The sequence below is a fragment of the Homo sapiens genome, chromosome 20 (assembly GCF_000001405.40).
Source record: "Homo sapiens chromosome 20, GRCh38.p14 Primary Assembly".
NCBI lineage: Eukaryota > Metazoa > Chordata > Mammalia > Primates > Hominidae > Homo > Homo sapiens.
This window is the reverse complement of record NC_000020.11, coordinates 45239138-45251881: the sequence shown is the minus strand read 5'-3', so window position 1 is coordinate 45251881 and position 12744 is coordinate 45239138. Positions and strand designations below refer to the sequence as shown.

General features: G+C 35.1%; 2 long non-coding RNA genes across 4 annotated transcripts in view; one reads left to right on the top strand and one right to left on the bottom strand.

The window, feature by feature from the left end:
- Positions 1–12744, bottom strand: part of LOC105372630 (uncharacterized) — a 59516-nt gene that overhangs the window by 38471 nt on the left and 8301 nt on the right. Inside the window, exon 3 of one of the 3 annotated variants that reach the window (XR_936761.3) lies at positions 5096–5178. The exons of 1 other annotated variant lie outside the window; for it this stretch is intronic. This is a non-coding gene — a long non-coding RNA (uncharacterized LOC105372630). Of the gene's footprint in view, positions 1–5095; positions 5179–11899; positions 11939–12744 lie in introns of those variants that run through there. One more of the 3 variants, XR_936768.3, reaches the window with a different exon arrangement.
- LOC124904913 (uncharacterized) lies at positions 2834–12514 on the top strand. Its single transcript, XR_007067605.1, has 2 exons — positions 2834–5197; positions 5342–12514. It is a non-coding gene; the product is annotated as an uncharacterized LOC124904913 (long non-coding RNA).

Genomic DNA, 12744 nt, shown 5'->3' with positions numbered 1-12744 from the left:
AAAGCCATACAGAACTGTTGGGGCAGATTCCTGTGTTCACCTCTGTATGTGTTACGATATATATATTGGTTTTCACACTTGATATGTTGTAGGTCTGTCTGTTGTCTAATCCAACCAACACTCTCTGGACACTCAGAAAAATTAAGATTATCTGCAACTCACAGCAAATGGAGTCCTCAAAAAGACTAACCATGTTACGTCAGTGCCCACTCTCGATTATTTTGAAAGACTTGGAATGCCCCAAACCTCACTGGACCATTCTGCTACATACTTTTCTCACCTCCAGCAAGGGTTATTCCAGACTGAGGAACCTAGGCTCGGGCAAATACGCTACTAGGAGTGTGCCCCAAGTAGCACCTTGCAGGGGGAGGAGACCTAGCGTTGAAATGAGATAAACTCCTGGGTTACATACAGAACACATGCTGAAAAAGTGACAGTACTATTTTTTTTCTACTCTTCTTCTCCAATTTTTGGATAATGATAAACTTTTATAATCTTCCTTAGGTCAGGTTTTCTGGAAAACAGTCCCAGAGGCAAATGTTTGTGAACAGGGGGTTTGCTGGGGAGTGTCCTGGGGAGTGACACCTGTGACAGGGAAAAGAAAGCAGGGCTGACAGGCAAAAAAAGCAAAAATAGACAAGTGGGACTACCTCAAACTAAAAAGCTTGCAAAGCTAAAGACACAGCCACCACTACCAGTCTCTGCATCTTGATGGTAGTGGTCCCCTGGGCCCAGCTGCTTTCTCTTTATCTCTTGGTCTTGTGTCTTTTACAATCTCTTGTCTCTGCACACAGGGAGAACACCCACTAAGCCCTGTAGGGCTGTATAGAAATGCTACTGATTTTTGTATGTTGATGCTGTATCCTGCATATTTACTGAATTCATTGATTGGTTCTAAGAGTTTATTTGCAGAGTCTAAAGGTTCTTCTGTAGATATAATTATGTTATCTGCAAAGAGGGATAATTAGACTTCTTTTCCAATTTGAAAGGCTTTTATTTCTTTCTCTTTCCTAATTGCTCTATGACTTCTAATATTAAGTTGAATAAGAGCAGTGAGAGTTGGCATGCTTTTCTTGTTCCAGTTCAGTATGATGTTAGCTGTGGGTTTGTCTATATGGCCTTTATTGGGTTGAGATACTTTTCTTCTATACCTACTTTATTGAGAGTCCTTATCATGAAGGGATATTGAATTTTACCAAATGATTTTTCTGCATCTATTGAGATAATCATATGGACTTTTTGTCCTTCATTCTGTTGATGTGATGTATCACATTTATTTAAAACATTCATAAATGATTTATATATGTTGAAACACATTCTTCATCCCTGGAATAAATCCTACTTGATTATAGTGTATTATCTTTTTAATGTCTTGTTGGGTTCAGTTTGCTAGTATTTTATTGAGGATTTTTGTATCTATGTTCATAAGGAATATTGGCCTGTAGTTTTTTGGTGTGTGTGTGCATGTGTGTGTCCACGTGCCCTTATTTAGTTTTGGTATCAGGGTAATGTTGGACTCATAGAATGAGTTTGGGAGAATTTTCTCCTTTCTCCTCCTTAATTTTTTGGAATAGTTTAAAGAAGAACTGATGTTAACTCTTCTTTAAAAGTTTGGTAGAACTCAGCAGTGAAGTCTTCCATTCCTGGGATTTTGTTGTTGTTGTTAGGAAGCTTTTTATTACTGATTCAGTCTCATTACTCATTATTGAACTGCTCATGGTTTCTAAATTTTTTTCTGGTTCAATCTTTATAGGTTATACATTTCTAAGAATTTATCAGTTTCCTCTAGGTTTTCCAATTTGTTAGCTTATAGTTGCTCATAATAGTATCTAAGAATCCTTTGTATTTCTGTGTCACCAGTGGTAATGTCTGCTTTTTCATTTCTGATTTTATTTGAGTCTTCTCTCTTTTTTTCCCTAGGTGGTCTAGTTTATGGTTTGCCAGTTTTGTGTATCTTTTCAGAAATCCAACTTTTTGTTTTGTTGATCTTTTGTAATTTTTAGTCTCTCTCTTGTGTATTTCTGCTCTGATCTTTATTATTTCTTTCTTTCTACTAATTTTGGGTTTGGCTTGTTTGTGCTTTTCCAGTTCCTTGAGATGCATCATTAGGTTGTTTATTTGAAACCTTTCTAGTTTTTTAATGTAGACATTTATTGCTATAAACTCGCCTCTTAATACTGCTTTTGCTGGGTCTCATAGGTTTTGGTATGTTGTGTTTATATTTTTGATTATTTCAAGGAATTTTGAAATTGTATTCTTAATTTCTTTCTTCACCCATTATCATTCAGGTGCATGTTGTTTAATTTCCATGTATTTGTATACTTTTAAATGTTCCTATTGTTATTGCTTTCTAGTTTTATTCCATTATGGTCAGATAAAATACTTGGTATGATTTTGATTTGTTAAAATTCTTGAGACTTGTTTTGTACCCTATGGCTAACTTTTGACATTGTTACTTGTGCTGATGGAATACGTATTCTGCAGTTATTTGGTGAAATGTGCTGTAAATGTCTGTTAGGTCTGCTTAGTCTATGATGCAGTTTATATCTGATATTTCTTTGTTGATTTTCTGTTAAAATAATCTTTCCAATGCTGACAGTAGGGTGTTGAAGTCCCTAACTATTATTGTATTGGGGTCTATATATTCCTTAATATCTAATAATATTTACTTTATATATCTGGACGCTCCACTGTTGAGTGCATACATATTTACAATTGTTATATTCTTTTACTAAATTAGTCCCTTTATAATTATATAATGCTATTCCTTGTCTCTTTTTTCCAGTTTCTAATTTGAAGTCTGTTTTGTCTGATATAAATATAGCTACTCCTGCTTGCTTTTGATTTGTTTTCATGGAATATTTTTCCTTCTCTTTACTTTCACCCTATGTATGTCTTTACAGGTGAGGTTAGTTTTCACTATATAGTTGGGTCTTGTTTTTTAATCCTTTTAGCCAGTCTATATTTTTAAAATGGGGAATTTAATCTGTTTATATTCAGGGTTATTACTGACAGGTGAGTACTTACTCCTATCATTTGATTGATTGTTTCCTGGTTGTTTTTGTATATCCTTTGCTCTTTACTTCCCTTCTTATTGTTTATTTTTGTGGTTGGGTGGTTTTCTGTAATAATAAGGTTTGATTCCTTTCTCTTTCTTCCTTGTGTTTTGGTTCTATCAGTGAGTTTTATAGTTTCAAATGCTTTCATGATGGTGTCAATTCATGGTGCACCATGGGACTGAAATTTAAGTTTTATAATGAATGCTTTTTTCCTTAATTCCTGCTTTTATGTCTTCATGACTGTGTAAAAACTTCATTAGTTGATGGATTCAAAAGACTAACTTGAAGTCATTTTGGAATGTGAATCTGGGCCAGATAAACCTTCATGTCCTCTCTACACTATTCTAAAAATGGATGTTCCTCCTGCTTGCTTGGTAGCTAAAAACATATCTGACTTCAGCAATAGTAAGAAGTAGATTTATTAATGCACACAGAAGAATTGGGACCTGATGTGGGAGGCAGAGAGATGATGAGGGAAAGCTCTCTGGAGTAGCTGCTCTATTTACCAACACCGACCTTTCTTTCTAGCACAAACTTGGGGCTACCTCCACACGTTGAGTGTTTTCCCTGTGTAAATCTGCTGTTTTCTTCTAACTCTGAATTGGCATGTCCTCACTGAGTTTCAGTCCAAATTTACAAAAACAAAATCCCTCCCAACTGATTTAATATGCCTGCACTCATATTTTCAAGTGCCTGCACTCATATTTAAAGTGTCTGTACTTTAAATATTTAAAGTGTCTGCACTCATATTTTCAAGATGTTTGTTTGCAACCCCACACACTGACCTTTCTGTTTCCAAACTAATTTGATATGCACTGCAATTCTGTGATACCGAAACATGAGAAGGATATTACATGAAAGGAAAACAATTTTCCAGCCTTGCTATAAACATAAAGGCAAAAATCCTAAACAAAACTTTACACAGGGAATTTGGTCATATATAAAAATGATGAAACATCATACACAAGTAAGGTTTTATGTCAACAATTTATGATTGGTGTAACATTTAAAAGTAAATCAATGGGATACTTCTCATTAATGGAGTACAGGGGAAAATGTTATGATTATCTTCGTATTGGCTATAGAATGTGTGAAAGAGTCACTTATCTCTTCATGATAAATGAGAAAATAATGACAGAACATTAGAAGTTCACTTATTTGATGGCAAGCCTATACAAAAACCATACAGCAGAGGGAACTACTTTCACAACGGTGGAGTAAAATCTGCTCCTTCATAAAAGGAGGGAGAATAAGTTTAAGAATCCATTATTCAAAATTCTTAGGACCAGAAATTTTTCAAATTTTGGATATTTTCACATTTTGTAATCTTTGCATATAAATAATGAGATATCTTAGGGATGAGAGGCAAGTGTAAACATTATCTGTGTTTCACATATACCTTATACACATAGGCTGAAGGTAATTTTATGCAATATTTTTACCGGTTTCCTGCATGAAACAAAGTTTGTATACACTGAAACATCAGAAAGAAAGTTGTCCCTATCTCAGCCGCCCATGTGGACAATCTGTGATTGTTTAGTATCACCATTGTATCTGACTCGAATTTATATGCTACCAATAAGCAATCATTTTATTACACTTATTCACCCATAAATATTTAACAATAAAAATACGACATACCATTAATACTGTGAAAATAATGTGTTCAGGGTAACTAAGCAGCACAGTAGCATCACCAAAATACCTGCCCCAGCTGTTAAACAACAGCAAGAAGCAACAGCAGCAGGATTTCAGTCTCCATCTACGATGCTGTGTTTTGATTAAACGATTATTGGTCACTGTATTTTATTTTTGTAGGTGAAAAGAGACATCACAAGCAATTGAGGGACCAGGAAGTGGATCCTCTAGAGATGAGGAGGCATTCTGCTGGATGACTTTTAAAAATGTTTTCTCCAGAGTCATCTCTCTCATTAACAATGTTTTTTGTCTTAGAAATTTCTTGTTGATTTTTAAACTTACATGATTTCTTGTTTTGGTATGAATACAGGCTGCTTCAGTCCTTCAATAAGCCCATCACACTTTTTCACCATGTCATCTATCAGCACTTTTTCTGCAGTGTTACGAACATCAGCTTCATCACTGTCAGCCTGCGTTTTGCCTGCAACCCATCAAATGAGGTCAGGAGAGGAGTTTTCCACTTTTGGCTTCATGTTGGTGCTCAAAACTTTTAGGATTTTGGAGCATTTCAGATTTCAGATTTCTGGGTAGAGATGCTCAACCTGTACTCACATATATTTTCAATATCAACTTTTTTTCCCCAGAATTTTGGAATTCAGCCAAAGGTTTGTCACAATCCAAGGAGTGGCATCATTAAGAATCATCAAGAAAAACAAGAAAACTTTAGCAAGAACAGAAAGTTTAGTGGCAGTATAACTTTTCCATTCCCATCTTTGTGCCCAGCTGTGTGGTAGCCTGAAAGCCACCAGGTTTGCTCCACAGTGGCTGTGAAAACCAGCAGCCCAGCAGCCCCTGCACGGGAGGATTTCCTTTCTGCTTTCGAAAGCTCTGTCCCCGGAAAACTGTCACTATTTCATTTGTATGTCAGCTCTCTAAAAAGGCACCCTTTTCATAGCATGTATTTACCTCGTCTAACTCAGAGTGTGCTCTATGTGGACAGTGCTATTTCTGGGGCAATTTTTTGCCATCACAGCTACTTCCGACGGTGAGGCCAATTGGAGCTAACAAGAGGCTGACCAAAAAACAAAAAAGGAAAAGGTAGGAAAGATTTCCAGGTGCTTAAAGAAAATCTCTGTCACATCTGTGGGACTTTAGAATACCACACTCCTGCACAGAATTGTGTGTTTGCCCCAGGGCTGTGTACATGCTAAGGAAAGACCTCAGATGACCCTAATTGTTCACCTCTGGCTGAATTAAAGTCTCTATGTGAACAGGAGGTGAAATACAACATAAAGTTGCAAGTTTCCCAGTGGAATGTTGACAGTGTATCTCAATGGATACACATGCAGCCCCTTGGAAAAGTCCAGGTGATTTATTGGTTTAGTATTTAAGATCATTTCTGTCCAATCATGAGCTGACCTCTAAGCTAATGGAACAGCGTCTTTAGTGGCTACACATGACACACGATACAGACTTTAGCAAATTAGTCCAGGAAAGTTACTAAGGAAGTAATCAACAGCAAAGACTGTGCAAACAAACCCTGGGGAGAGAATCTGATTTCCAAACTGGCCACATTATATTATGTAAAAAGTCCAATTTCATTAAAGAATTACGAGACATGCAAAGAAACAAAAAATATTGCCCATACAGAGAAGGGAAGGGAAACAATGAACAGAGATGATCCTTTAGGAGCTCAGATGATGGATTAGTAGACAAAGACATCAGCTATTATAAATACACTGAAATAACTAAAGGAAACTCTGGACAAAAGACTAAAGGAATGTATGAGAATAATGTCTTACAACATAGAAAGAATTAAAGATAAGTAATGAAGTTGTAAAGTACAACCAATGAAATAGAAATTCAAAACAGGGGTTCACCAGAAGACAGAAACAGAAGAAAGGATCGGCTAACTTAATTACAGGTCATTTGAGATTATACACTCTAAGGAACAATAAAGAAAATAATTAAGAAAAATGAACAGAGCCTCAGAGACCTGAAGAACACAATCTAGTGTAAAAACATATGCATAATGGGAATCTCAGGAGAGAGAAGAAAGAGAAAGGCGCAGAAAGAATATATGAAGATAGAATGACGACGAAAATTTTTATTTTGATTAAAAACATTAATCTCTACATCTAAGAAGCTCAAAGAACACTAAGTAGGAAAATCTCTAAGAGATCCACACCTAGATCGAAATATTAGTGACAAAGGCAAGGAGAAAATTTTGAAAGCAAGGGACAAGCCACTTATCATGAGCAGTTAATAAACTAAACAGTAATTTTTCATTAAAATCATGAAAGCCAGAAGGTAGTGAGAGAACACATTAAAAACGGCAGAAGAAAAACCTATCAACCAAGGATTCTATATCTTGGTATGTCTATTCTTCAGAAGTCAGGGAAAAATTAAGGCATTCCTGGATATACAAAAACTGAAGAGTTCATCACCATCAACCTGACTGCAAGAAATACTGACATGATGATATATATATATACACGCATATATATGTATATATATATACACGCATATATATGTATATATATATACACGCATATATATGTATATATATATATACACGCATATATATGTATATATATACACGCATATATGTACATGTATATATATATATATACACACATACATACACAGAAAATCCTTAAGAATCCCTCAAAATATTATTAGAGCTAATAAATGACCTCAGCAAGGTTCAGGACATAATGTCAAAATACAACACTCTATGGTTTTAAGAATAAAATTTCATTTACAATAGCATAAAAAGAATAGGATAATTAGGGATTCATTTAACCAAAAAATGGAGAAACTTTTATACTGAAAATGGAAAATTATTTTTCAAGGAAATAAAAGAAGACCCCCAAAATAGAAAGCTATACTGTGTTCATGGATTGGAAAACTCGATGTTGCCAAGCTGGTAATTCTTCACAAATTGATCTATAAATTCAATGCAATCCCTAGAAAACTTCAGGTGAATTTTTGTTGAAATAGATCAGTGAATCCCAAAATTTGTATACAAATGCAAGGGACCCAGAATAGCCAAAACAGTCTTAAAAAAAAAGGGCAGAATTGGAGGACTCACATTTTTTTATTTCAACGTGTACTACAAATCTACAATTTCAAGATGTTGTGTTACTAGCATAAGGATAAACACAATATATCAAAGGAATAGAATTGAGAATCCATAAATAAGCCATTACATTTTAAATTGTCTTATTTTCAACAAAGGTACAAAAACTATCCAGTGGGGATAGAGTAGTCTTTTCAACAAATAATGGGGAAAAACTGGATATGCACCTGCAAAAAAATATACATGGACTGTTACATCATATCAAGTACAAAAATGGGCTCCAAATAAAACAAGACCTAAATATATGAACTAAAATTACAAAACTCTTTGAGGAAAACATAAATGTATATCTTCATGATCTGGTAATCAGCATCAATTTCTTAGATATGCTACCAAAAGCACAAGCAACAAAAGGAATAATAGATCCAAAAATAGATTAAAGTTAAAAACTTTGGTGAGTCAAAGGGCACTAATAAGAAATGAAAAGATAACCCACAGACATGGGAGAAAATATTTGCAAATTTTATATCTGATAAGGGCCTAGTATTCAAAATACAAAAAGAACTCCTAAAATCAACCATAAAAGACAAAAACCATGATTAAAAACTGGGCATCAGATTTTAACAGACATTTCTCCAAAAGAAAATGTACAAATGGCCAATAAGCATGTAAAATGATGGGTGATATCATTAGACCTCAGGAAAATGCAAATCAGAACCACAACGAGAAGCCACTTCACATGTACTATGATAGCTATAATCTTAAAAAAAAAAAACCTAAAATAACAAGTGTTAGTGAGGATGTGGAGAATCTGGAACATTCATACATTGCTGGTGGGAACATAAAATGGTACATCCTCTGTGGAAAACAGTCTGGCAGTTCCTTGAAGAGTTAAACATAGAGTTATCATGTGACTCATCAGTTCCACTTTAAGAATTATACTCAAGGTAATTGAAAACATTTTAACACAAAATTTGCACATAAATGTTCATAGTAGGATTAATAATAGTACATACAAACTAGAAACATCCAAATGTTCACCAATGGATAAATGGATAAACAAAATGTGATGTATCCATTCAGTGAAATATTATTCATACATAAAAAGTAAAAAAAAAAAAAAGATCCCACCCTACAACATGGATGAGCTTTGAAAACATAATTCTGCATGAAAGAAGTCAGATGCAATGAGCCACATATTATATACTTTAATTAATATAAAGTGTCCAGAATAAGTCAATTCATAAAAAGCAGGTTAGTGGTTGCCAAGGGAGAAGTAAAGGTAGGAGGAAGGATTGAGTGCCATCAGGTATAGGGGTTCTTCATGGGAGTAATGAAGTTGTTCCGGAATTAACAAGTGGTGAGGGTTGCACAAGCTTATCAAAATACTGAAAACCACTATATTGTACACCTTAAAAGGTGCATGTCATGGTTTGTAAATTGTATCTCAATAAGAAAGTAGCACAAATAATTAACTGAATAACTAAACAAATATAAGTTAAACACACTTGCTTTGATTCCTGGACTGGGAGACTAGATTACCACTTCTGATTCTGTAAGTGAAGTTTGTTGGCATACAACCACATCCATTGGTAAGAATGATCTTTGACTGCCTTTGTCCTATAGTGGTACAGACAAGGAGTTGCAATAAAGATCTTAAGGCATATAAAACTTACAATATTCATTTCCTGGCTCTTTGCTGAAGTTTGTTGACTCCTATGTTAAAGCAATCAAATTTTTAATGAAAAACCTTTCCAAAAAGTACACTGCTGGTCCAGGTGGCTTCACAGGTAAATGCTATTAAACATCTACAAATTATACATTCTACAAAAATGTTTTAAGACAAGAGAAGCAGAGAAAACACTTCCCAACTTCTTTTATGAGCCTAAGATAACTGTGATACTAAAACCTGGGAAGAACATTATAAAAAAGTTTACTTACAGTCTAACATCCTTCATAGACATAGGCATAAAAATCTCTAACCAAGTAGTCATAAACTCAGTCCAAAAATATGTTAAATAGATTATACATTAAGGTCAAATGAGACACACATTCAGGATATGTTTTGTATTAAAATTAGTCAGTGTAATTCACTATATGATCATCTCAACAGAGAAAGTATTTGACAAATCCAAAACCCATTTATTATAAAACTTCTCCACCTGCAAGGAAGAGAAGCTCTCCCTCTCAATATGATAAAGGGCACTATATTCAACTTAAAGCATATCTTAGTGGTGTACTGAAGTGGAAGGAGGTTATTGGAAGGAGTTCACCCCAGTTGTAAGCAATAAATAGGTCCCCCAATTGTAGAGAATTTAAGAATAATAATAAAAGTGGCTTAAAAAGCTGTACTGTATATTATCACTATGTGCTGGCAATTTTAAACAGAGTCAGAGATAAACACTCCCTCCTCCTCAGATGAACCACTCCCACTGCCACAATCCTTGGTATGCCGCTGATAAACATCATCTCTAATGGTAAAATATTGGATGTTTTCTCCTTAAGGTTAGGAGAAGGCAAGGATGTCTGTCTTCACCATTTCTACTTAACATTGAGAGCTTGGCCAGTGTTTTTGTTTATTTTTATTTTTTTTCTTGAGATGGAGTTTCACACTTGTCACCCAGGCTGGAGTGCAATGATGCAATCCCAGCTCACTGCAACCTCCACCTCCCAGGTTCAAGTGATTCTCTTGCCTCGGCCTCCCGAGTAGCTGGGATTACGGGTGCCCTCCACCATGCCCAGCTAATTTTTGTATTTTTAGTAGAGACAGGGTTTCACTATGTTGGTCAGGCTAGTCTTGAACTCCTGATCTCAGGGTGATCCACCCTCTTCAGCCTCCCAAAGTTCTGGAATTACAGGCGTGAGCCACTGTGCCTGGCAAAAAAAAAAAAAAAGTATTATAGTCTTTACATTCTTTTGTAAGAATTAAACCTTGGGATTCAAAATAGTAACATTGCTGGTTAGAAGTCTAAAGCAAAGACCAGAAAATGCTGACATGTAGAGCCAAAAATTAAGGTCAATGTGTTCAGAGAATGAATCAGGAGCACTAAGGAAAAAGCAGTCACCATCTAATCATGTTGCTTGTACCTGTTGCCACATTAGGAGTATATGCTTATCATTCTGTATGCTACTAATAGTGAGTCATTCTTGCAAATAAAATTAATTTTAATAGACGTACAAGTGAATATATATATAAATCCTATGAGTGGTGTTTCAGGAAATAACAAGTTTGGAAGCAAATAAGTTCTGAAATTGGCAATTTTGGTTTACAGTTCTGTATAGAACTGTTAACTTTGCTAAGGAGATCCGAAATTTTAATTGTTCACCTGCTAATAACTAGCATATTTCTGAGAGTATGAATATTCACAACCTACAGTTCTTTGTAAATGTGATAAACTCAATGTTTCTTAACCATCAAACCATGTCTATAATGAGTAAGCAGTGTGAAGAATGTTGGATAAACTTTAAGAACAACTTTAATTTAAAGAATTCCTGGGAATTCTGAAATATTTTTCTTAAATCTTGAATATAAATATCTGTTGGTAACTTGAAAGCACTAGAAGAAAATATCTACAATGGCAATACAAAATTATGAGTATCATAACTACACTACCATGTAGCACATATAATATTAATTCACTTCTACTGTCACTTGTTTCTATTTGAACTAGGTCACTTTAATTATATAGTCAACTTTATTGGGGCTTTTAAAAGTGGCTTGTTTATAGAATTTGTGCCAATGCTCATGTTAAGTTGAGATTTTAACCAAGAATGGTAATTATAAATTGTTATCATCACTGATAATTTGTGGGATTGAACTTCAGTCCAGAATATTATATACATTGTTAAAAAGAAATGATCTTATTAGGAAGGGGGTTAAGAAGCATTGTATATCAAGAGTGGGCATGGTGGCTCATGCCTGTAGTACCAGCACTTTGGGAGGCTAAGATGGGCGAATCACTTGAGGTCAGGGGTTCGAGACCAGCCTGGCCAACATGGTGAAACCCCATCTCTACTAAAAATACAAAAAGTAGCTGGATATGGTGGCACACACCTGTAATCTCACCTAATTGGGGGCTGAGGCAGAAGAATCACTTGAGCCTGGGAGGTGGAGGTTGCAGGCGCTTCAGCCTGGGTGACACAATGAGGGAGATTCCATCTCAAAAAAAAAAAAAGCATTGCATATCAAAATAATACATAAGAGAAAATCAATGAACTTAGAAGCAGCAACACTGTAGAATACATGTTTGTAAGAACAAAAGAAGAAATAAAGGGAAGACAAACCTTGTGGGAATATATTACAGACCACCCAACTGGTATGGTAATGAATGATACCTTCTGAAGGCAGTTTATAAAAATAATATAAAGGCAGGATAAAATAATAAGCAGTTGCTTTTATCTGAAAATTATTTCATTTATGTTATGTCTTACAGTGCCTGAGTGCATTTATAACAATAAATGCTTCTTAAATGAGAAAAAACAGGCAAGTCTTAAATTGGTAGATGTCAGCATAATGATTGCCCCTGAAGGGTTGGAATTAAATTTGAATGCGTCATAGACAACTTTCAAGGTTGATGAGAATGTTCTATATCTCCATATGATTTTGTGTAACTACACATATGTATTTGCCAAATCTCATTCAAATAAATACATTAGATCTGTGCTTTTCTTTGTATATATTTTACCTCAATATTAAGATATAATAAAAGATTGTTTTATTATTATTATTACCAAATTTGTTGTCATGCTGGAACTTTTTATTGAGCACTGGGGCTGAGATAATCTCACTCAATACCTCTGAAAATCTATATGACATGGTTATTATTATTCCCACATTAAGACGCAGGAGGTCTGGCCAGGCGTGGGGGCTCATGCCTGTAATCCCAGCACTCTGGGAGGCCGAGACAGGCAGATTGCTTGAGTTCAGGAGTTCAAGACCATCCTGGGCAGCATAGTGAAACCCCA